The 26,498-nt window shown below is 39.7% G+C and overlaps 1 protein-coding gene and 1 pseudogene across 9 annotated transcripts in view, besides 2 other annotated features; one reads left to right on the forward strand and one right to left on the reverse strand.

Annotated features, from left to right (window-relative positions):
- The window catches only part of DBT (dihydrolipoamide branched chain transacylase E2), a 62,916-nt gene continuing 37,676 nt past the window's right edge, over nucleotides 1,259–26,498 (reverse strand). For 6 of the 9 annotated variants that reach the window (NR_174363.1, NR_174365.1, NM_001918.5 and 3 more), the window contains 4 exons: nucleotides 25,034–25,111; nucleotides 20,785–20,976; nucleotides 20,570–20,641; nucleotides 1,259–10,762 (listed from right to left, as the gene is read on the reverse strand). Coding sequence is in view for 4 of the 9 variants with exons in the window: in NM_001918.5 (NP_001909.4) it covers nucleotides 10,595–10,762; nucleotides 20,570–20,641; nucleotides 20,785–20,976; nucleotides 25,034–25,111 (510 nt within the window). In the remaining 5 variants the exon portion in view is untranslated. Of the gene's footprint in view, nucleotides 10,763–14,982; nucleotides 15,142–20,569; nucleotides 20,642–20,784; nucleotides 20,977–25,032; nucleotides 25,112–25,379; nucleotides 25,465–26,498 lie in introns of those variants that run through there. The other 3 variants (NR_174364.1, NR_174366.1, XR_007095647.1) reach the window with 3 other exon arrangements.
- Nucleotides 3,005–3,154: an enhancer, noted in NCBI's record as "active region_1376". NCBI's record gives its function as "activates an Ori minimal core promoter by ATAC-STARR-seq in GM12878 lymphoblastoid cells {active_cell/tissue: GM12878}" and the evidence as "EXISTENCE:reporter gene assay evidence [ECO:0000049][PMID:35858748]".
- RPL23AP90 (ribosomal protein L23a pseudogene 90) lies at nucleotides 11,156–11,391 on the forward strand (annotated as a pseudogene).
- Nucleotides 14,437–15,274: an enhancer, noted in NCBI's record as "H3K27ac-H3K4me1 hESC enhancer chr1:100665653-100666490 (GRCh37/hg19 assembly coordinates)". NCBI's record gives its function as "activates a minimal SCP1, AML or CMV promoter by ChIP-STARR-seq in naive H9 embryonic stem cells {active_cell/tissue: H9 hESC(naive)}" and the evidence as "EXISTENCE:reporter gene assay evidence [ECO:0000049][PMID:30033119]".

Raw genomic sequence — 26,498 nt, forward strand, 5'->3', positions numbered from 1 at the left:
TTTATGAAGGCAATGTCCTTATGATCTAATTATCTCCCAAAAGCCCCACTTCTTAATACCATCACCTTGGGGATTAGGTTTCAATGTATGAATTAATGGGGGGGACACAACATTCAGACCATAGCAGGGTCCAACTTCATTCTTTTGTATTCTTCATTCTAGTGTTCCCAGCACCACTTGCTGAAAAGACTGTTCTTTCCCCTTTCACAAGAGTGTGAATTGTCTTGGCACCCTTGTCAGAAAAACATTTGACCATATATGTGAGGGTTTATTTCTGGGCCTCTATTCTATTCCATTGGTCTTTATGTCTGTCTTTATGCCAGTACTACACTGTTGTGAACACCGATACTCCTTTATGTGGAAATCTTCCAGGTAAGGTTGGGTGGATGGATGTGTGTGTGTCTGTGTGTCTATGCAAGGAAAACTCTTAAATAACAGACTGTACACTTGCCAAATGTTAATGGGTCATTCTTCTCCATATTTTGAGATTTATATTAGAAAGTTATGGCTACATCCTAACTTGAACCACTTGGTCTCACAAAACAGAGACTGTTTCTAAGGAGAGGTGGGGAATGTTGGTGGACACCAAATGTCTTTCCCCTGGACCTTAAACTCTGATTCCAGTCAGTCTCATATGACTTCTGCTACATTTCCCCACAGTTTCAATCTTTTTTTTTGAGACAGAGTCTTGCTCTGTTGCCCAGGCTGGAGTGCAGTGGTGTGATCTGGGCTCACTGCAACCTTCACCTCCCAGGTTCAAGCAATTCTCCTGCCTCAGCCTCCCAAGTAGCTGGGACTACAGGCACCCACCACCACACCCAGCTAATTTTTGTATTTTTTAGTAGAGATGGGGTTTCACTATGTTGGCCAGGCTGGTCTCAAACTCCTGACCTCGGGTGATCCACCCACCTCAGTCTCCCAAAGTGCTGGGATTACAGGCATGACCCCGGCCCACAGTTTCAATCTTTTAATACCTTAAATATTTAAGTTACTAAAATAGCTAAGAAAAATTGTTCATTTTAAGTGCTAATTATTCCCTTTTCTTTTTTCTATTATTAAATATGTATTTTATGAATAAAAAGTTAATGTTTTTAACTAGGAATTAAAATGTACTTCTGATTTTTAGGTTTGTTTTGTGCCAGTTGTCATTTTTCATACACACACACACACACACACACACACACACACGCACACACCCCACCATCAACACCACCACCACCGTCGTTTCTGTAAACCAATCAACAGTGGAGACACTAGAGACTATTATATGAAAACTGTTTATTCTATAGCCTACTGGGAATTGGCCAGAAGTTAGAAGGACATTGGAAATGACTTTTAAATCTCCATTTGAGAAAAAGCATGCCATGAGTCTAAATAACCAATTTCATTTAGCAAACAAAATACAAGTAAACAAAACACAACTTCTCTGATGAATGAAGTGGTTACCATATTTTTTCCCATTGTGTAAAGATAGTTCTCATATGAAATATATCACCTAAGCAGTAGTAATCAGAATATTCTGCAAACTTATTGGGGGTAATTTAAACCCCAAATCGGAAGAATAGAATAAAAGACATAAAAGTCTTTCTTCAAAAGAAAAACAAAACAAAACAAAAAACAATACCCCTTCGGTGTCAAATGATACAGAAATGGCACTGGTTTCCTATATGTTGACTGAGATACTTTTTACTGCATAGCAAATTAAAAAGATATGCTCATCCCACTTTTATTTTTATGCACTACTTTTAGTTCTGCAGAAATAAAAGCTATACTGAATTTAAAACTTTTTACACACATAATCCTGTGCAAACTATGTAATACTTTGTTTGTAGGATATTAACCCAACTTTCTAATATATTTTGTATATGTCTCTTTTTGTTTATTTGAGACAAAGTCTCACTCTGTCACCCAGGCTGGAGTGCAGTGGTGCAATCACAGCTCACTGCAGCTTCGACCTCCTGGGCACAGGTGATCTCACTTCAGCTTCCCGAGTAGCTGGGACCACAGGCGTGCACCACCAGGCCTGGCTAACTTTTTGTATTTTTTTTTTTTTTTTTGTAGAGACGAGGTTTTACCATGTTGCCCATGTGGGATATTTTGTATACATTTCAAAAGGCAACTACAAAAATTGGTTTTTCATATTTCTACAAATATTTTATGGAATGTTTAATATCTTGTAAATGTGGAAGCTGTGACAAATTTTTGTATTTAGAAAGTATGACAATCTGAAAATCAACATTTTACAGAAGTGACACCATTCTGTTGAAACTGGAGTATACTGCACTTATATATCATTATTTCTAATATACACCTAGTTATTAGAGAAATTAGTGCACTAAAGGACAGTGGTGGTTTTTAAAAATGATTTCTTCACTGTGGCAAGTTTGTCCTCCTCTGTCCAAAGCAACAATTGAACCAACAGGCCCTTCTAATCTTATGCCAGCAACACAATGGGATCGAGGCCAGGTTCTTGTGCAATTTGTGAAACCTTTGGTTTGCAGAGTTGTTAGCGTAGTGGCTCGGCTCATCAGCTCTGAGCATTTGAATATCTAATGTTTCAAACTGTTAGTCCTGTTCTGATTTATATTCATCCCTGCCATTCCTATTAACTTAATTACACCTGCCCACAACTTAATTTACTTGCCTTTGTTACTACAGTTTGAACTCCAGCTACATTTTTCTAAGAAATTAAATTGCTAGGTTTTTATAGCTGACTGCACTCTTAGAACTTCTCTACAGACTTTATGATCTTTTTGGACTTTACTTTTTAGCACATCTTAGGAACTATTATGAAGTTTTCTCGCAGCACACTTGAAGTTAAATAGCTTTTTCCAAGTTTAATACAGTTTGATGGCTCTTCTCGGGGTGTAGATGAGTGGGGGCACTTACATTGCCCGTTGGAGGAGACTCTGCCTTCTGCTCAGCCAAAAATCAGTGTGAATCCCTTTGACTGTTCCATCTTTCCCCATATCAAACCTAAATTATTGATCTTCCACCTGTTCTCATTTCTTCTGTCCTGTCTCTTGTTGAGTCACAACAGCTGTTCCCCATGCTCTGCGTGGTAACATTCCACATGGTACTCCATAAAAGCCTGATATAGATGACCTCTCTATAACAGAACTGCAATTATTCTTGTCATGCTTCAGTTGTTTCTGTGGCTCTCCTCTGGACTCTCTCCAAATTCTCCTGCTCAGTTTTAGCAAGCTGGCCTGGAGTTCTCTCACACGGTCTGGCTAGCACAGTAATTTGCTTGTGGTTAAAAGCCTTTGTGCTCAGTACTGAGACTGCCACATAATGAATTTTCATTTCCATTTTATTCTGAACTTGCAAACATCAGAGATTCGTGCTATCTTCAGTGTTTAAGTGGTAATGCCTTTTGTAAAATAAAGGAGGCTGCAGGCCAGGCACCGTGGCTCATGCCTGTAATCCCAAAGCTTTGTGAGGTGGAGGCGGGCAGATCACTTGAGGTCAGGAGTTCGAGACCAGCCTGGCCAACATGGCGAAACCCCATCTCTGCTAAAAATAGAAAAATTAGCCAGGCGTGATGGTGCATGCCTGTAATCTCAGCTACTTGGGAGTTGAGGAATGAGCACTGTTTGAACCCAGGAGACGGAGGTTGCAGTGAGCAGAGCCGAGATCGCACCACTGCACTCTAGTCGGGGTGACAGAGTGAGACTCCATCTCAAAAATTAAAAAAAAAAAAAAAAAAAGCCTGTGGTTATTTTGATGGGATAGCAAGGATAACATGAACCATGTAAGGTTTGGCATAAATAGTTCATAGTTGACCTGGTCTGTCTGACTGTCTGAGATGTCACTGAGTCATTTGATGACCTTGAAATGCTAAAGCATTGGAATGAATGTCTGTAGATCAGGACAGAGGTGGGTTCAGAGAACTATTTAGGAGACATCTGGGTGGGAGTTGTGGCCAACACTGATTACAGGTGAGCACTGGGGAAAAAAGCCAGGATTGCAAGGAGTTAAAGATCACCCATTCAAGAAGTTTGGCAGAAGGAGCAAGACAGGAAATTTATTCATTTAGTGGCAGTCAGAGGTAACAATATAAGAAAAGCATTCTGAGTCTTCTTTTAGGCAAACTGAAATTTGCCATTAGAGAAGGGAGTTCTTTGTTTTTCGTTTGTTTTAGGGACTATTTAAAAAATAAGAACATTTGTGTCTTATTAGTTAAGGCAGCACTATCCAATAGAATTTTCTGTGATGATGGAAACAGTCTACATCTGTGCTATCTGGTATGGTGCTATAAGCCACATGTAGCTATTTAAATTTAAATTTAATTAGTGTGGCTACTGAGCAATTGAAATGTGGCTAGTATATCTGAGTTGAATTTTGATTAATTAAAATTAAAATTTAAATTTAAATAGCTACATGTGGCTAGAGGCTACTGCATTAGACAGCTCAGAGTTCGAGTTTTACTAACTAGACTTGCAGATTAATCTCAAAATATTAATGTCTTAAAACAATAAAAGTGTATTATTCAACTATCACATCCAAACCAATTGGTGCTAGGGTGTAGGGAGGGGAGCATTCTGCTCTGCCTAGTCATTTGGAACACTGGCTCCTTCTATCTTGTGTGGTGCCATCTTCAACCTTGAAGGGTGCATGTTGGAGGGGAAGAGATAGAATATGAAGAATCTCTTGAGAAGTGTTATGGGCCATGTCTGGAAATGGCCTACATTACTTCAACCCATATACCCATATTCTAATAGTTACAAATAAATGACATGGCTCTACCTAACTGCAGGCTGAAAGAAAAGGAACAAGGTTTATGGACACATAACATTACCCTGCCACAATGAAATTTGTAGAGGTCTGGGATCAGTCTCTAATACCTCCTCCATAAGGAAATGGAAATAAATTTTAATCAGTGTGCTAAGGGAGTAAATCTGGTACAGTTCTGGATGTGAGGAAGAGACTGAAGGATCAAAGTGGGGCAATGGGGGTTCAACATGGGGCAGGGATCAGGAGGAAGAGATGGAATAAATAATAGAGGACAGAAAACAGTTGGTATTTGCTGATGGAGAACCACTTCTCGGAAAGAGAAACAAAAAGAAAGTGTGAGAATAGAAATTTTGAGGTGAAAAGGAGAGAAATTCAAGGTTCTTAGATTGAATCACTTTGTCTGCTCTGAGGTTATTTGCTTATTATGACAAGCCTGGGAAGACGTTTGGGTAGGTGCTTAAAATTAGAAGAAAAGACCCGAACAGGTACTGTAAAGAGTGCCTTGGGCATGCGCTGTAGAATTTGGAAGGCATTTGTTTCAGACTAATCTGGTAATCCAGATATTTCACAGAAAGTGTCATGTAAATTCAAATAGGTATCTTCTTTTTCTCTTGATAAATATTCCTGTGGTAAGCCATGGAGTTCTGTTAATCTTCTGTTTGACCAAATAACTAGGATTGGGAATTTTAACTTAACCTTTTACCTTTTACCATAATTAAGGTGCCAGTATAAGAGTAGAGCATTAAAGCTAGTGAGTATATTAACACGCAAACATTTTAAGAAAAATCAGATGAATAGAGAATACTGAAGTTAGTAATTCACATTTTGACAGCATCAGTTGAACTGTCAGCATAACATGAAGTTTGAGAGTAGAATTATTTCTCAAATTAACATTGAACTTAAACTGGGAAGAAAATACAAATGTTTTTTGTTGGAGAAATTATAAAATCTTGGAATTGTAACAAACAGCTTCACAGTTTAATAGTATCTTATGTATTTGCCTTCCACTCCCTACTCTACTGCCACCTCAGCTTCCTCTCTATCCATGTCATTAAAGAACTCTCTTAGAAAAATTCATAATTTAACACGAACTGAGGTGGGATGGGGTGGGAAGGCAATGCCTTACTTTACATAGTTAACTTCCTTTTTAATCTGCCCATAAAAAAATTCTCCCAGATTCCCATTCTCGATCCATGTAGTTGAATGAGGATGGCTGACTCCTAGGCTCCAAAGGTGACTAAGACTCAAGTGTGGACAGAGTATTCTATTCTCCTGCCCACACTGATGGGCACATGAACCAAGAAAGACAAAAGGTCTCCTGGGGGTGTGTGTATATATATGTGTGTGTGTATACACACACACACACACACACACACACACACACACACACACACACACACACACACACACAGAGTCTTGCTCTGTCGCCCAGGCTGGAGCGCAATGGCACAATCTCAGCTCACGGCAGCCTTTGCCCCCAGATGCAAGTGATCCTGCCACCTCAGCCTCCTGAGTAGGTGGCACACAGGTGCATGTCACTTCATCGGCCTAATTTTTTTTTTTTTTGGTATTTTTTGTTTTTTGGTTTTTTTGGTAGAGCTGGGGTCGCCCAGGCTGGTCTCAAACTCTGGACTCAAGAGGCCCACCCATTTAGGCCTCCCAAAGTGCTGGGATTATAGGCATGAGCCACTGTGTCCGGCCTCTCTTGGTGATTTTGACTGGAAATGATGTGGGTTCACACACATGATCCAATCTCAAGAAAAGACAGTGTAGAGGGAAGGGGGTAAAACCACCATTAAGAACTGATTGGGAATATAGCTCAACTCTAAAAGCACTGCTCTTCTCTAGGTTATTGGCACAGACCCACTTCCAGTGATAGCTTTAATTATTGGCTAAAGCTTTTGCTGTGAGGGCAAAAACTTCATCTATCTAATTCACCTTTATCCATAATCTCTACCCTAGAGCCTGGAACTGAATATACAGTTAATAAATAAGTGCAGAATGAACTAACTAATCACTTACAGCCTGAATTTTACAAATGCCTTTGAAGACTTCATGGAAACATTTGTATTCTTGGTACTGTAGGGCAGTGCTGAGCCCTGTCATTTCTTTCTTAAACCATAGTTTACTTAGAAATCAGCAAGGAAATCCATCAAGTGATTTTGGGGATCCACTTTGAGTGGGAAGCCATGAGAAATGCCCAAACAAGCCAGTGGGCTTTCCAGACTAAGAGCTATCACTTTCACTCTTTCTACATAATCACTTCTTACATAGGTTTCAACATAAGGTACATTTTGATCTCTAAAATATAAATTCATACCAATTTTAGCTTCCATCCTCAGACTTCCTTTCCTGTTGTACTTCCTTTTCAAATATCAGAGGAATGCTCAAAATAATGAAAAGAGCCTTGATTTTCTTGCTGACCACTCGCAGCAATAATTTTGGCTTCTCCCCCATGTACATATACCTTCTAATCTCCAGACATGTTAGTAAAGGACTTGAATTTTCTGGCTTTTCCACTTTAATTCCAACCTCTAGGAGTACAGCAAGAGCCTTTTCCTCCTCCCAAACACCCATCCCTTGCTTTGTAGAGCCTCATGGACCAGCACTGCCACTAAGGCTGCGCTCCTGCCCCTTTGGCCCTCTTCAGGGAATCCTGCTATCCTAAGGGCCGTGCACACTGTAGGGAACAAATCCTTTGCTGAATTCTCAATGCATGAGACCAAAGAGAAGATAGTAATACCCAAGGGTTGGAATAGAACCAGATAACTTAAGGGTTATTTGGGAATAGAGTATCTTGAGCCATTGATGCTGGACCTACATACTTACTTATTTCAGAACTCCCTTCTCCTGGTTTTTCTATTCTTTAAGTGAGGAGGACATTTTTATTGATCATGTCATTATTCATTTAAAACTCAATAAATGCCTATCAATAGATAATTGGTTAAATTATGGGACATCCATCTTCTGATCCTTCCAGATAAGATCGGTAACCTTTACTGGATGGCTCATAGCATCTGGGTTATTACCTACCAAGAACAGTGTTTTATGCAGTTATTTAATATCTGTCTCCTTACTAGACTGTAAGCCCAATCAAGGAAGCATGAAGGTGGCTACTGTATGCTTAGAACCATGATTGGTATGGTAGATGTTTAATGTTTGAATGTATAATAAATGCATACAATGGAATACTATGCAGACATTTATTTATTTATTTATTTATTTAGAGACAGAGTCTCGCTCTATCACCAGGCTGGAGTGCAGTGGCTCAATCTTGGCTCACTGCAACCTCTGCCGCTGGGTTCAAGCAGTTCTCCTGCCTCAGCCTCCCGAGTAGGTGGACTACAGGCGCCTGCCACCGTGCCTGGCTGATTTTTGTATTTTCAATAGAGATGAGGTTTCACCATATTGGCCAGGCTGGTCTCGAACTCCTGACCTTGTGATCTACCTGCCTTGGCCTCCCAAAGTGGTAGGATTACAGGCGTGAGCCACCACACCCAGCCTATGCAGCCATTTAAAGCATGACAATGTGGAATTGTTTATTGACATGTAAGGTTACCCATAATATAATGTTAAATTTTAAAAATCAAATAATAAAATAGTAGATATGCTATGATCATGTTTTAACAAAAAAGAATAGCCATACATACAGATAGATACATCAAAATGTTAATAGTGGTAAGATTATGAATGACTTTTTCTTTTATTGGTTAACTCTTTGTATTATCTGAAATTTTACAACAACAGCATTTATTTGACCTGTTTTTTTTATTTTATTTTATTTTTTAGAGACCAGGTCTCACTCTGTCACCCATACTGGAGGATAGTGGCACAATGACAGCTCACTACAGCTTTGAACTCCTGGGCTCAATTGATCCTCTTGTCTCAGCTTCCTGAGTAGCTGGGACTATAGGTGCACACCACCACACTTGGCTTTTTGGTTTTTTTTTTTTTTTCTGAGACAAAGTGTTGCTCTGCCACCCAGGCTGGAGTGCAGTGGTGTGATCTCTGCTCACTGTAACCTCCACCTCTTGGGCTCAAGCAATTCTCCTGCCTCAGCCTCCCAAGTAGCTGGGACTACAGGCGTGTGCCACCAGGCCCAGGTAATTTTTTGTATTTTTACAAAACTGTAGAGATGGGGTTTCACCATGTTGGCCAGGGTGGTCTCGAACTCCTGACCTCAGGTGATCTGGCCACCTCGGCCTCCCAAAGTGCTGGGATTACAGGCGTGAGCCACCAGGCTAATTTTAAAAATAATGTTTTTTGAGATGGGATCTCACTATGTTGCCCAGGCTGGTCTCAAACTCCTGGCCTCAAGTGATCCTCCTGCTTCAGCCTCCCCTATAACTGGGATTACAGTTACAAGTCATCACACCTGGCTGATTTATTCTTTCCTGATTTTAAAATTATTTCCATTTTGAGAAAAACCAAGTAGATATTAAAACAACCTTTTTTCTGTCACAAAACTTCACTTAAACAACTAATTTTGGCATACAGTTTTCAACTGGACAATATTAGAAACAACATGGATTTCCGAATGCAAATTGAAATGTTGGATACATTCATCTCGTTGCTATTTCTGATTAAAGTAGACCTTTAACAAAATGATCATTATGAAACCTTCATTTCTATACAAAATTTCTTATTTTTTATATCCATAATTACTATTAGACTCTTCCTTCTCCTCTTATTTACATTCTTACCCAGGATATGGAGAATGGAATAGACCTTAATTTCTTATCCTATTTTTTAGCTGAAGACCAAAAAAGTTAAAAGGAAGTAGACTTCTCAAATTTTTTTTAAAAAAAGAAATGTCAGTGGCTGCTACATTTAAAGTACCTTCCTTACATGAGGGAAGTTTGCAAAGGTGAAGGTCTTCCCCAAGAAAATACCAAAGCATTACCACAAATCTAAAACTATATCCATTTTAAACAAACACCTTTAATAGACTGGTTATAAAACTATAATTGGACAATTTTAAGGCCAGTTTATACTTTTCCCTTTTCAAAGACATTAATTAATATAAATAAGACACTATCAGATGATATTCTCTATACAGAGCAAGAATATACTCTTGGATATCTCAAAAGAGAAGTATAATTGCACTTATTTCATACAACAATTAGCATAATAACGGAAATGGAAAATATTTTTGTATATAAATTCCATTTCTTAATTAAGTAAAATTAAAGTTTCATTAAGAGTCAGTTAAAAAAAATAGGGCATATACTGTCTGTATATGGCTACCTGTCTTTTAGTAACATGAATTTTGTTTTTTTGTTTTTGAGATGGCGTCTTGCTCTGTCGCCCAGGCTGGAGTGCAATAGCACGATCTCAGCTCACTGCAACCTCCACCTCCCAGGTTCAAGCGATTCTCCTGCCTCAGCCTCCCAAGTAGCTGGGATTATAGGTACCCACCACCACACCCGGCTAATTTTTGTATTTTTAGTAGAGGCCAGGTTTCACCATGTTGGCCAGGCTGGTCTCAAACTTCTAACCTCAGGTGATCCGCCCACCTGGGCCTCCCAAAGTGCTGGGATTACAGGCGTGAGCCACCATGCCCGGCCTAATTTTGTTAATCTTGCCAGTTTCAAGCCATTGACACAAAAACATCAGCACCATATTAAGAAGTCACACTCTGACCTATAAAATGTGACAGCCCCAGGAGAACCATTACACCATTATTCATTTTCAGTAAAAAGTCTAATAGAACAGTGACAAATATTGTGCCTTAGATCCTTAATCATACGATACAAATCATTTACAATATAAATTGTAAAGATGAACATGTGCTGGCACAGCTAGGGTTTACATACTCTTTGGAAGCTCAAAAAGTTCAAGAATGTCTTATCAGTCTTCATTTCAGATCTAGTAGCATAAAAGCTGGGTTTTCTAAATAGGATTTCCACAAATTGGAGAAGCGTGACATTGTAGCACCATCAATAACTCTGTGATCAGCTGACCAGCTCACATTCATTATCTGTGCCTTATATACTTCTCCTTTCTGGTTAAATCGGGGAATGGCCTAGAAATGAAAAAAAAAAAAAAAAAAAAAAAAAAAAGAACAAAGAGTAAACCTTCACTTGTTCAGAGCTCAAGCTCTAACAATGGTGTAAGATCAGGCAAACCCTTCTTCCTGTACAGTACAGAAAAAAATGGGCATCCCCAATGACTTTTGAAAATGCTGATTCCTACTCTTCCCATCTTTGAGTATATGCCTGGAGCTTACAGAAGTTCTCCAAGGTACTTCCTATCCCTTGTACAATTCCCATACCTACATTCATTAACTTTCATCTCAGATTTCAAATATTTAATAATTATTTACTGTATACCCACTATGTGCCAAGTATTCTTCTAGGCTCTGGGGAGAGACAGACAATTAAATAAGGCTTCCTCACTGAAGGCAGTGAGGAAACAAGCCATTATCAAGTTCCCCTGACCACTGAGTTGGCCAGGAAGAAGACAGGACAACAACATGCTTGTGTTCTTTGTGGATATTAAAGCTAGTAAGCACCACATCAAACAGGCTGGAAGCTCTATGACACTGATGCGGCCAAGGTCAACACCTTGATCAGGCCCGGAGAGAGGAAGGCATATATTCCATTAGCTCCTGATTACAATGCTTTGGATATTGCCAACAAAATTGGGATCATCTAAAATGAACCCAGCTAATTCTAAATATATATCTTTTCACTATCAAAAAAAATGTAGACAAAATATAAGCCCCAACTTATTATTAGATTCAATAGACATAAAATCATGCTGTCAAACTGCTATAAAAGTTTCTAAGCTCTACTCTCTTTTTCTATACTGATCTCCTCATGGCTGGGATACAACAGTCACAGCCAGATGTGGATCCTTGAGCACACTGAGTAGCATCTGTGTAAAGCCATGTAGGCCACTGCAACTACTTGTCTTTGATTCTATGTGAGATGAGAAGCCCTTCAAAGTGTCTGAGCAGATTGGCCATTCACTGAAAGAGGACGACTTTAGGAGGAGCAGGTCTGATGGTGGGGGGCAGTGAGGAAAGGAGCAGGAGCTCAGTTTTAGACATGTTAAAATTCAAGATGCCTTTATACATCCAAGCAAGATATAAGAGTAAGTTCAAAAGTGAGGTCCAGTCTAGAGATATAAACCTGGGAGTCATCAGTGTATAAATGGTATTGAAAGATCAGATAAAGAAAAGCGGTGAGAACTGAATCCTGGGGTGCTTCCATGTGCAGAGATTAGGAACATTAGGAGGTATGGGTAAAGGAGACTTAGAGGGAATAGGCAGTGACATAGGAGGAAAACCAAAATGGCCAGGTATTCTGCAAGTCAATATTAAGAAAGTTTTCCAAAGAGGTTGGATTGATCAGTCATCTCAAGGTCAACTAGTAGGTCAAGGAAAACGAATACTGAGAATTGAGTAACATGGAAGACTTAATGACTTAAACAATTTAGCAAGAAGGAATTAAAATTCTATAATGAAAACAAAATAGCAAAGGAAAGATGACACAAAGGGAGAAAGGAATTAAATACTATTTGTCCCTACCCCACAAATATTATTTTAAGGGAATAAGATTTCTACTCTAAGAACTACACTTCATGGCTTGAAAAAACCATGGATAAAATGATTCTGTAAAATATATCTATTGAACAGATATTTATAAATCAAATATTCATTTGTTCATAACACCATTATGCACAAGAGCCAAAAAATGGAAAAATCCAAATATTCATTGATGGATGAATGTATAAACAAAACATGGCATACATTTATATACAACAGTATACTATTTACCCTTAAAAATTAATGAAATTCTGATACATGCTACATGAATGAACCTTGAGCCAGATACAAAAGGACAAATACTGTATGATTCCACTTACATGAGGTACCTAGAATAGTCCAATTAATTCACAGAGACAGAAAATAGAATGGTGGTTACCAAAGGCTGGGGAAATGGAGAGATTACTCAGTAAGTGCAGAGTTTCAGTTTGGGATAATGAAAAAGTTCTGGAGACAGATGGTGGTGATGGTGGCAAACAATGTAAATGTACTTAATGCCACTGAACAATGTACTTAAAAATGGTTTAAATGGTCAATTTATGTTTATATATTTTACCACAATTATATACATATACACATATAATTCAGAAGAAGATAATCTCTTTAAGGAAAGAGAACACAAAATTTTGTCAAACAGGTATAATGGTTTGGAAACTGCAGGAAGCCAGAATTTTGTGAGAATCAAATGTTGAATTCTTGTTGGAAAAGAGAATGAGTGATAGAGAGAAGTTATAACTCAGAGAACTGATTTGGAAATAGTGACATACTGTGTCTTTTTGTTTTTTCTCCCTATCTCCTCTGCTTGCCAGAAGGGAAAGTGGATGCCAGGAAGGGGGAATGACTTAGATGCTAATTTACTATCTGCTAGAAAGCAAATCAAAGGCTGAAGGAAAGAATTTGTGAGGGTTCCAACACGCAAGGAATAAACTCATGAGGACAAGTCCCAGAGATGTTCAACATGGAAGCATTATAAGTGTAGAAAAGAAAGGCTCTTCTTAAAACACACTCTTCTTAATGTAGTGACAATGACATTTAATAAACATGGTATTGAAGTGGTATCCAGGAGCTTATTTGCCTCAGTGGTCCTCAACCCTGAATTAATAGGGGGTACCCAAGTCCCATCCCCCAAAATTCCAATTCAGCTGGTAGAGGGGGAGCTTGGCCATAATTTTTTTCAAGCTCCCGTATGATTCTAACATGTAGCCAGGGTGAAGAATCACTGCAACCCTTATTCTAAGTCAGTGTCTTCTAAACCATGGTCACCGATCACCTTTTTGCACTCATTTGGGTTCCTGTTCAAAATTTAAGTTCGGAGGGTTCTGCCCCTAAGGTAAAGAAATCTGCGCTTTTAACTAACACTCCCAGTGATTCCTGAGCAAAGAATGCTCTAAATGAGTCTCACTTTGTTTAAAATAACATTTTCAATTGGTTTTCTATTATTCTTTGGTATAATGAAATAAAGATATTTTGATAGAAGTAGATTGGCTATATTTGTGATTATTCATTAAGACTCAATATCTGTGCCTGGCATAATCCACAATGGTTGATCCATACAGAAACAACCCAGATCGCCACCATTTATTACACACAGAGGCAGCCACCAGAAGTGCCGGCCTAGCTCTTAGGAAGAAGTAATAGGTTTTTGGATTCCCAGGCAAGATGGCAGAACAGGAACAGCTCCGGTCTGCAGCTCCCAGTGAGACCAAGGCAGAAGGCAGGTGATTTCTGCATTTCCAACTGAGGTACCCGGTTCATCTCATTGGGACTGGTTAGACAGTGGGTGCAGCCCATGGAGGGCCAGCAGAAGCAGGATGGGGCGTCGCCTCACCTGGGAGGCGCAAGGGGTCAGGGAACTCCCTCCCCTAGCCAAGGGAAGCCATGAGGGACCGTGCTGTGAGGGATGGTGCTATCCAGCCCAGATACTATGCTTTTCCCATGGTCTTTGCATCCGACAGACCAGGATATTCCCTCGGATGCCTACTCCACAAGGGCCCTGAGTTTCAAGCACAAAACTGGGAGGCCGTTTGGGCAGACACCAAGCTAGCTGCAGTTTTGTTTTTTTTTTCATACCCCAGTGATGCCTGGAACACCAGTAAGACAGAACTGTGAGAGACACTCCCCTGGAAAGGAGGCTGAAGCCAAGGAGCCAAGTGGTCTTGCTCAGTGGATTCCAACCCCACGGAGCCCAGCAAGCTAAGATCCACTGGCTTGAAATTCTCGCTGCCAGCACAGCAGTCTGAAGTCGACCTGGGATGCTGGAGGTTGGTGGGGGGAGGGGTGTCAGCCATTACTGAGGCTTGAGTAGGCGGTCTTCCCCTCACAGTGTAAATAAAGCCACAGGGAAGTTCGAACTGGGCAGAGCCCACTGCAGCTCAGCAAAGCCACTGTATCCGGACTGCCTCTCTAGATTCCTCCTCTCTGGGCAGGCATCTCTGAAAGAAAGGCAGCAGCACCAGTCAGGGGCTTATAGATAAAACTCCCATCTCCCTGGGACAGAGCACCTGGGGGAAGGGGTGGCTGTGGGCGCAGCTTCAGCAGAATTAAACCTTCCTGCCTGCCGACTCTGAAAAGAGCAGTGGATCTCCCAGCATAGCGCTTGAGCTCTGCTAAGGGACAGACTGCCTCCTCAAGTGGGTCTCTGACCCCCATGCCTCCTGACGGGGAGACACCTCCCAGCAGGGAATGACAGACACCTCATACAGGAGAGCTCTCGCTGGCATCTGGCAGGTGCCCCTCTGGGATGAAGCTTCCAGAGGAAGAAGCAGGCAGCAATCTTTGCTGTTCTACAGCCTCCACTGGTGATACCCAGGCAAACAGGGTCTGGAATGGACCCCCAGCAAACTCCAGCAGACCTGCAGAAGAGGGGCCTGACTGTTAGAAGAAAAACTAACAAACAGAAAGGAATAGTATCAACATCAACAAAAAGGACGACCATGCAAAAACTCCATCCAAAGGTCACCAACAGCAAAGATCAAAGGTAGATAAATCCATAAAGATGAGGAAAAACCAGCATAAAAAGGCTGAAAATGCCAAAAACCAGGACGCCTCTTCTCCTCCAAAGGATCACAACTCCTCGCCAGCAAGGGAACAAAACTGGACAGAGAATGAGTTTGATGAACTGACACAAGTAGGCTTCAGGTAATAACAAACTCCTCCGAGCTAAAGGAGCATGTTCTAACCCAATGCAAGGAAGCTAGGAACCTTGATAAAAGGTTAGAGGAATTGCTAACTAGAATAACCAGTTTAGAGAAGAACATAAATGACCTGATGGAGGTGAAAAACACAGCATGAGAACTTCGTGAAGCATACACAAGTATCAATAGCTGAATCGATCAAGCGGAAGAAAGGATATCAGAGATTGAAGATCAACTTTATGAAATAAAGCATGAAGACAAGATTAGAGAAAAAAGAATGAGAAGGAAGGAACAAAGCCTCAAGAAATATGAGACTATGTGAAAAAGACCAAAACTACGTTTGATTGGTGTACCTGAAAATGACAGGGAGAATGGAAACAAGTTGGAAAACACACTTCAGGATACTATTCAGGAAAACTTCCCCGAACTAGCAAGATAGGCCAACATTCAAATTCAGGAAATACAGAAAACACCACAAAGATACTCCTCGAGAAGAGCAACCCCAAGATCCATAATTGTCAGATTCACCAAGGTTGAAATGAAGGAAAAAAATGTTAAGGGCAACCAGAGACAAAGGTCGGGTTACCCACAAAGGGAAGCCCATCAGACTAACAGTGGATCTCTCGGCAGAAACTCTACAAGCCAGAAGAGTGTGGGGGCCAATATTGAACACTCTTAAAGAAAAGAATTTTCACCCCAGAATTTCATATCCAGCTAAACTAAGCTTCATAAGTGGAGGAGAAATAAAATCCTTTAGAGACAAGCAAATGCTGACAGATTTTGTCACCACCAGGCCTGCCCTACAAGAGCTCCTGAAGGAAGCACTAAACATGGAAAGGAACAACTGGTAGCAGCCACTGCAAAAGCAACCCAAAATGTAAAGACCATCGACACTATGAAGAAACTGCATCAACTAACAGGCAAAATAACCAGCTGTCATCATAATGACAGGATCAAATTTGCATATAACAATATTAACTTCAAATGTAAATGGGCTAAATGCCTCAATTAAAAGACACAGATTGGCAAACTGGATAAAGAGTCAAGACCCATCAATGTGCTGTATTCAGGAGACCCATCTCATGTGCAAAGACACACATAGGCTCAAAATACAGGGATGGAGGAAGATTTACCAAGCAAGTGGAAAGCAAAAAAAAAGAAAAAGCAGGGGTTGCAATCCTAGTCTCTGATAAAACAGACTTTAAACCAACAAAGATAAAAAAAAGACAAGGGCATTACATAATGGTAAAGGGATCAATGCAACAAGAATAGCTAACTATCCTAAATATATATGCACCCAATACAGGAGCATCCAGATTCATAAAGCAAGTTCTTAGAGACTGGCAAAGAGACTTAGATTTCCACACAATAATAATGGGAGACTTTAACACCCCACTGTCAACATTAGACAGAACATTAGACATTAGACAGAACAATGAGACAGAAGATTAACAAGCATCTTCAGGACTTGAACTCAGCTCTGGACCAAGCGGACCTAATAGACATCGACAGAACTCTCCACCCCAAATCAACAGAATATACATTCTTCTCAGCACCACATAGCACTAATTCTAAAATCGTACACACAATTGGAAGTAAAACTCTCCTCAGCAAATGCAAAAGAATGGAAACAATAACAAGCAGTCTCTCAGACCACAGTGCAATCAAATTAGAACTCAGGGTTAAGAAACTCACTCAAAACCACACAACTACATGGAAACTAAATAACTTGCTCTTGAATGACTGCTGGGTAAATAATGAAATGAAGGCAGAAATAAAGATGTTCTTTGAAACCAATGAGAACAAAGACACAACGTACCAGAATCTCTGGAACACAGCTAAAGTATGTGTAGAGGGAAATTTATAGCACTATAAATTTCCCACAGAAATAAATGCCAACAGAAGAAAGCAGGAAAGATCTAAAATCAACACCCTAACATCACAGTTAAAAGAACTAGAGAAGCAAGAGCAAACACGTTCAAAAGCTAGCAGAAGACAAGAAATAAACAAGATCAGAGCAGAACTGAAGGAGACAGAGACACAAAAAAACCCTTCAAAAAAATCAATGAATCCAGGAGCCGGTTTTTTGAAAAGATTAACAAAATTGATGGACTGCTAGCTGGACTAATAAAGAAGAAAAGAGAGAAGAATCAAATAGACACAATAAAAAATGATAAAGGGGATATCACCACTGATCTCACAGAAATACAAACTACCATCAGAGAATCCTATAAACACCTCTTCACATATAAACTAGAAAATCTAGAAGAAATGGATAAATTGCTGGACGCATACACCCTCCCAAGACTAAATCAGGAAAAAGTCGACTCCCTGAATAGACCAATAACAAGTTCTGAAACTGAGGTAGTAATTAATAGCCTACCAACCAAACAAAGCCCAGGACCAGATAGATTAACAGCCAAATTCTACCAGAGGTACAAAGAGGAGCTGGTACCATTCCTTCTGAAACTATTCCAAACAACAGAAAAAAAGGGAATCCTCCCTAACTCATTTTATGAGGCCAGCATCATCCTGATACCAAAACCTGGCAGAGACACACACACAAAAAGAAAATTTCAGGCCAATATCCCTGATGAACATCAATGCCAAAATCCTCAATAAAACACTGGCAAACCGAATCCAGCAGCATATTACAAAGCTTATCCATCACAATCAAGTCGGCTTCATCCCTAGGATGCAAGGCTGGTTCAACATGTGCAAATCAATAAACATAATCCATCACATGAACAGAACCAATGACAAAAACCACATGATTATCTCAATTGATGCAGAAAAGGCCTTGGATAAAATTTAACACCCCTTCATGCTAAAAACACTCAATAAATTAGGTATTGATGGAACATATCTCAAAATAATAAGAGCTATTTATGATAAACCCACAGCCAATATTATACTGAATGGGCAAAAGCTGGAAGCATTCCCTCTGAAAACTGGCACAAGACAAGGATGCCCTCTCTCTCACCACTCCTATTCAACATAGTATTGGAAGTTCTGGCCAGGGCAATCAGACAAGAGAAAGAAATAAAGCATATTCTATAGGAAGAGAGGAAGTCAAATTATCTCTGTCTGCAGATGACATGATTGTATATTTAGAAAACCCCATCGGCTCAGCCCAAAATCTCCTTAAGCTGATAAGCAACTTCAGCAAAGTCTCAGGATACAAAATCAATGTGCAAAAATCACAAGCATTCCTATACACCAATAACAGACAAACAGAGAGCCAAATCATGAGGAAACTCCCATTCACAATTGCTATAAAGAGAATAAAATACCTAGGAATCCAACTTACAAGGGATGTGAGGGACCTCTTCAAGGAGAATTACAAACCACTGCTCAAGGAAATACAAGGGGACACAAACAAATGGAAAAACATTCCATGCTCATGGATAGGAAGAATCAATATTGTGAAAATGGCCAAACTGCCCAAAGTAATTTATAGATTCAATGCTATTCCCATCAAGCTACCATTGACTTTCTTCACAGAATTAGAAAAAACTACTTTAAATTTTATATGGAACCAAAAAAAAAGCCCACATAGCCAAGATAATCCTAAACAAAAAGAAGGAAGCTGGAGGCATCATGCTACCTGACCTCAAACTATACTACAAGGCTACAGTAACCAAAACAGCATGGTAATGGTACCAAAACAGAGAGATAGACCAATGGAACCGCACAGGGGCCTCAGAAATAACACCACACATCTACAACCCATCTGATCTTTGACAAACCTGACAAAAACAAGCAATGCGGAAAGGATTCCCTATTTAATAAATGGTGTTGGGACAACTGGCTAGCCATATGCAGAAAACTGAAACTGGACCCCTTCCTTACACCTTATACAAAAATTAACTCAAGATGGATTAAAGACTGAAATGTAAGACCTAAAACCATAAAAACCCTAGAAGAAAACCTAGGCAATACCATTTAGGACATAGGCATAGGCAAAGACTTCATGACTAAATCACCAAAAGCAATTGCAACAAAGCCAAAATTGACAAATCAGATGTAATGAAACTAAAGAGCTTCTGCACAGCAAAAGAAACTATCATCAGAGAGAACAGGCAACCTACAGAATGGGAGAACATTTTTGCAATCTATCTATCTGACAAAGGGCTAATATCCAGAATCTACATGGAACTTAAACAAATTTACAAGAAAAAAACAAACAACCCATCATAAAGTGGGCGAAGGATATGAACAGACACTTTTCAAAAGAAGACATTTATATGGCCAACAAACATATGAAAAAAAGCCCATGATCACTGGTCATTAGAGAAATGCAAATCAAAACTACAATGAGATACCATGCCAGTTACAATGGCAATCATTAAAAAGGCAGGAAATAACAGATGCTGGAGAGAATATAGAGAGATAGAAACGCTTTTACACTGTTGGTGGGAGTGTAAATGAGTTCAACCATTGTGGAAGACAGTGTGGCGATTCCTCAAGGATCTAGAACCAGAAATACCATTTGACCCAGCAATCCCATTACTGAGTATATACCCAAAGGATTATAAATCATGCTACTATAAAGACACATGCACATGTATGTTTATTGCAGCACTATTCACAATAGCAAAGACTTGGAACCAACCCAAATGTCCATCAATGTTAGTTAGACTGGATAAAGAAAATGTGGCACATATACACCATGGAATACTATGCAGCCATAAAAAAGAGTGAGTTCATGTCCTTTGCAGGGTCATGGATGAAGCTGGAAACCAGAAAACCAAACACTGCATGTTCTCACTCATAAGTGGGAGTTGAAAAATGAGAACACATGGACAGAGGGTGGGGAACACCATACACTGGGGACCTGTCGTGGGGTCTGGGGCTAGGGGAGGAATATCACTAGAAGAAATACCTAATGTAGATGACGGGTTGATGGGTGCAGCAAACCACCATGGCAGGTGTATACTCATGTAACAAACCTGCACATTCTGCACATGTATCCCAGAACTTAAAGTTAAAAAAAAAAAAAAAAAAGAAATAATAGACTTTCTAAGATAAACTCAGAAACTTAAAACCTACAAAAGGAGGGGAAACCTTAGAAATGGTTACTCTTCATTGTGTTTAGTCCCTGAATTTGCTTAAACTCCATTTTTCAGTTATCTAATACATGTACCTTAATTGATCCAAGGGCCCCAATGGCTACTTCAGGTGGCATTATCACTGGTTTGGCAAAGGTACCACCAATCTATTTTTTAAAAAAAAAAAAAGGAGAGTATTAAAAGTTAAGATTTTTCAGGGAACAAATGCCAAGTGACTTTTCTATTTTTAATTAAGCATATGATCAGAAACCTTAAGTAATGGTTTATGTATTTCAACATTATTACTCACTGATCCAATGTTGGAAAGAGTAAATGTTCCTCCTGTAAGATCAGTGGTGCTGAGCTGACTCACAGAGCCCAATTTCTGGAGGCGGTTCAGTTCAGTGGCGATGTCAAATATAGAGCAGATCTGAACATTTTTCACATTAGGGACAATCAAACCCTGCTCAGTATCCATTGCTATCCCAATGTTATGAGAAGCCTAAAAAATAAAAAATTGTACAGTAGGGCTTTTAATGAATAAGCTAACAGCAAAGAAAGGATCAACCTTCACTGCCATCTAGAAACCACTACCAAAACTCATTTTTACCAGATTGGTAGTGATTTAAAAGAAATAATTTAAAAATAATTTTTAAAAGATTTTTTGGGCTAGGCGCAGTGGCTCATGCCTGTAATCCCAGCACTCTGGGAGGCCAAGGTGGCTGGATTACCTGAGGTCATGAGTTCAAGACCAGCCTGGCCAACATAGTGAAACCCCATCTTTACTAAAAATACAAAAATTAGCATGGTGGCACAGGCCTGTGATCCCAGCTACTCGGGAGGCTGAGGCACGAGAATCGCTTGAACCTGGGAGGTGGAGGTTGCAGTGGGCCGAGATTGTGCCACTGCACTCCAGCCTGGGAGACAGAGTGAGACTCTGTCCAAAAAAAGATGATAATTTTTTATTGATAAGAATGTAGGCAATAGGCTATTTCCCAACATCGTTAGTGGGAATGTAACTGGTACAGGTTGAGCATCCCTAGTCCAAATATCTGAAATCTGAAATGCTCCAACATCTGAAACTTCTGGGGGCTGAAATGACGTCATGTGATGTAGCCAATTTCCTTGAAAACTGATTTATCACCCTGAGTCAAGATCCATCTTCAGAATTCTGTATACTGACAAATATAGAAATGTAAAGATTTTATTTTCAATTTATTGGATGGATTAAGCACCTCAGCATTCCTTACTATGTGATAAAATACATATATAATAAAAAGTATATTCAATATTTTGTCCTTAAACATTATGCTGCATAGTTGTTGAAACAGTTCTCATTTTATAATATTTAATCATATCAGAGCCCATCAATAAAAAAAAAAGAGAAAAATGCAGCCATTGTTCTGGCAGGGCATAGTGGCTCATGCCTATAATCCCAACACTTTGGGAGACTGACACAGAAGGATTGCTTGAGGCCAGGAGTTTGAGACCAGCCTGGGCAACATAGCAAGACTCCATCTCTACAAAAAAATTTTTTTTAATTAGCTACAAAAATTTTTTTTTAAATTATGGCACATGCCTATAGTCTCAGCTACTTGGGAGGCTGAGGTGGGAGGATCATTTGACCTCAAGAGTTTTAGGTTACAATAAGCTATGATTATGCATGGGTGACAGAGCAAAACTCTGTGTCAAAAAAAGAAAAAAAAAAAACTTTGTGGCCGGGCACAGTGGCTCACGCCTGTAATCCCGGCACTTTGGGAGGCCGAGGCGGGCGGATCACGAGGTCAGGAGATGGAGACCATCCTGGCTAACACAGTGAAACCCCATCTGTACGAAAAATACAAAAAGAAATTAGCCAGGCGTAGTGGCAGCCTCCTGCAGTACCACCTACTCAGGAGGCTGAAGCAGGAGAATGGCATGAACCCAGGAGGCAGAGTTTGCAGTGAGCCGAGATCGCAGCACTGCACTCCAGCCTGGGCCACAGAGCAAGACTCTGTCTCCAAAACAAAAACAAAAAAAAACAAATCCAACTTTGTTTCATGCACAAAAATGTTAAAAATATTGTATAAAATTACCTTTAGGCTATGTGTATGAGGGGTAAATGAAACATAAGTGAATTTCATGTTTGCACTTGAGTCCTGTCCTCAAGATATCTCCTTTGTATATGCAAATATTCCATAATCCAAAAAAATCTTAAATCCAAAAACGCTTCTGGTCCCAAGCATTTCAGGTAACGGATACTTAAACTGTAGAGACTTTCTGGAGAACATATGACAACATGAACCAACATTTATAAAAATTCGTGTTAAGGAACTAAGTGCAGAAGTATGTAGGGATACACAGGGATGTTGAGTACACACTGTTTATAAGTTTGAGAAACTGCAAATAATCATGATGTTTATAAATAGGTCACTGGCTAAATAAATAACAAAGCTATACTTGTTGACAATGATGTCTACAATATAGTAAATGAAAATGAAGAGGCTGGGCACAGTGGCTCATGCCTGTAACCCAGCACTTTGGGAGGCTGAGGTGGGTGGATCACTTGAGCCCAGGAGTTAGAGACCAGCCTGGGCAACATGGCAAGACCCCATTTCTACAAAAAAAAAAAAAAAGTACAAAAATTAGCTGGGCATGGTGGCACGTGCCTATAGTCCCAGCTACTCAGAAGGCTGCGGTGGGAGGTGGACACTGCAGTGAGGCGATGATTACACCACAGCATAGATATTCTCTATGGGGAATACTTTAGATAGGCAACAGAGCAAGACTCTGTATCAAAAAAAAAAAAAAAAGAAAAAGAAAAAAGCAAGTTAAAGAAAATATAAATAATTCTATATCTTGTAAAAAGTATGTAAAAATGAAATCCTAGAAAGATGTATATCTCAACATAAACAGTGAGCTATCTTAGGGTCATGGAATTGAGGGTAAACATCTTTGTTTTCTTTTTTCTTTTCTTTTCTTTTCTTTTTTTTTTTTTGACAAAGGCAGGGTTTCACTTTGTCACCTAGGCTGGAGTGCAGTGGCATGATCACAACTCACTGCAACCTCCATCTCCCAGGTATCATATGATTCTCCTGCCTCAGCCTCCCAAGCAGCTAAAACTATAGGCATGCACCACCATGCCTGGCTAATTTTTTTTTTCTGTAGAGATGGGGCCTCCTAACTTTGTTGCCCATGCTGGTCTTGAATTCCTAGGCTCAAGCCATCCTCCTACCTCTGTCCCCCAAAGTGCTGGGATTACAGGCAGGAGCCACCACACCCGGCCAACATCATTTTCTTGCCTGAAATTTTTTTAATAAGTATATACTTAATCAGGAGATATTAAAATTAAAATTAATACAGCTGACTGTATTAACCGTATGGGAGCTGACCTCCCAGAATATCTAAGCTCACTTTCTGGTTGTACATGTCTTTTCTTTTTTTTCTTTTTTTAATTCTCTTTTTGAAATGGAGTTTTGCTCTTGTCGCCCACGCTGGAGTGCAGTGGCACAATCTTGGCTCACTGCAACCTCCGCCTCCTGGGTTCAAGCAATTCTCCCACCTCAGCCTCCTGAGTAGTTGGGACTATAGGCGCTGGCCACCACGGCTGGCTAATTTTTGTATTTTTAGTAGAGACAGGGTTTCACCATGTTGGCCAGGCTGGTCTCAAACTCCTGACCTCACATGATCCACCCGCCTCAGCCTCCCAAAGTGCTGGGATTATAGGCGTGAGCCACCGTGCCCAGCCTCTGGTTGTGCACTTCTAATGATAAGTAAACTTCAGGAAAGGCATCTCAAAAAGAGTTTTCGGTCTTAAGAAACTTTCACTACTCACAGAAGAGTTTACTCAAATTGAATTCAAACTTTTATTATTTTTCTCACTTAAATTATTCTTAATATTAAAATTCCAGGAATTTGCCAGGCACAGTGGTTCATGCCTGTAATCCCAGCACTTTGGGAGGCTGAGGCAGGAGGATTGCTTAGACCAGAAGTTCAAGACCAGCCTGGGCAACATAATGAGACCACGTCTCTACAAAAAATTTAAAAATTAGTTGGGCATAGTGGCGCATGCCTATAGTCCCAGCTACACAGGAGGCTGGGGCAGAAGGATTGCTTGGGCCTGAGAGGTTGAGGCTGCAGTGAGCCACAATCACAACACTGCATTCCAAACTGGTGACAGAGTGAGACTCTGCCAATAATAATAATAATAATAAGAAGAAGAAGAAGAAGAAGAATAAGAATAATAATATTAAAATTCCAGGAATTCAATTTTGAAAGAGCTGCTTCTTTTTGAGAGGGTAAGTAGAGTGGGTAACATAATCTGCCATACAGCTATGTATTTCCATTATTTTAAGCAGGAAAAAAAAAAGCTTAAAAATAGTTTTAAGAATCTCTAAACAGTATTATTAACACAAAAACAACAACAATGAATTAGACTTAAGTTTAATGTTTTACCCCATACCTTTAATTCTAGTCTAAAAAAGATCACTATTTGAGGTACAATAGAAGTCTCTAATCTACAAGCACATTTGCCCCATCTTCTATTAATAATAAGAACATTTTTACTCTGCATAGCCAACCTTATATGTTATATTCTGGCAGTTTTCATCCACAGAAGCGTTAAGGATAGGAAACTGTAGTAATCCCAAGGAAGCAGCCTGTTTAACAGAAAAAGAATGCAATTTTAGTACTTTTAACTTAGAAAGGATAGAGAATTTGAAACAATAAGAGGTATAAAAGGAGGGAGAGAGAGAACTCTTATTTATGCTGAGTTTAATTTCAAGTCTACATGTACCTAGTCACATTACTGCCAATGTTACCTTCAGGCCATGTGGAACTAGGTCACCCTAATCATTAAAGAATAAAAGATAAAGTAGTCAGGTAGCTTGTAAACATCAAGGAGATTTTCAAAATAATGATACAGACCAGCCAAAGTTCCAAAGAAAATGTCTAAATTCTAGGTGATTTCCTCACTGACATGTTGATCTTAAGATTTCCATGAGAAGTAATACTAGGAATCAAAACACAAAAAAAGCAGGTAAGCTATTTCTCTGTGTGGAAAGAACACGTAACGAGGATTTCAAAGCGCACTGACCAGTAGATGCCAGTTTGCTACTTGGTGTCCTTGGCCAGCTGAAGGGCAGAGATGTCCTGAACATTTACTTTACAGCTCAAGTCTCACTGAATAGCATTTATATTTTCCCTCTCTGCTGCCTTCTCCCTTTTGTCACTTAATACCATTTCTCTCCTGTCCATATTCAGATTTCCCTAACTGTACCCAAAATGTTCTTGATAATCTGTTTTTGGGATCTAATAATCAAGTTTCATACCTTACATGTGGTGGCCATGCATTGTATTGAATTTAAAAGATAGCAAAATAAAAATGCTTAAGATCATTCTTAAAAAGAATTCCCTCCCCCACTGCCCTTGTCTGGTCCCTGTTAAAGTTCTTTACATGCATTGTGTTATTCTTCTCAGTGCATCGGGGTCTTGATGGGAAAAAAATCAAATTCTTGAACTAGAGAGTTAAGAAAAAAGTTTAAATATATAGAGACATTTCATTTTCATTAGTTAGGACAGGTTAAGAGAGTAGATCAACTGAAGAAAAATATAATTAAAAGAACTGCTACGAGTTCCTTAATTTTTATGACTTGGAAGTTTTTCTTGTTTGTTTTTGAGACAGGGTCTTTCTTTGTCACCTAGGCTGCAGTGCAGTGGCATGATCTCAGCTCACTGTAGCCTCAACGTCCTTGGCTCGAGTGACCCTCCTGCCTCAGCCTCCCGAGTAGCTGGAACTATAGGCGTGTGCCACCATGCCCAGGTAACTTTTGTATTTTTTGTAGAGATGGGGTTTCACCATGTTGCCCAGGCTGGTCTTGAACTCCTGAGCTCAAGCAATCTGCCTGCCTTGGCCTCCTAAAGTGTTGGGATTACAGTCGTGAGACACTGCGCCCAGCCAACTTGAAAGTTTTAGTAAGCATTTGATTCAATAACTGTAATTTTAATAGTCTTTATCTAAAAACCCCTAAGGTTAGTCTAAACTGT

Source organism: Homo sapiens, chromosome 1 (assembly GCF_000001405.40).
Source record: "Homo sapiens chromosome 1, GRCh38.p14 Primary Assembly".
In the NCBI taxonomy this organism is placed as follows: Eukaryota; Metazoa; Chordata; class Mammalia; order Primates; family Hominidae; genus Homo; species Homo sapiens.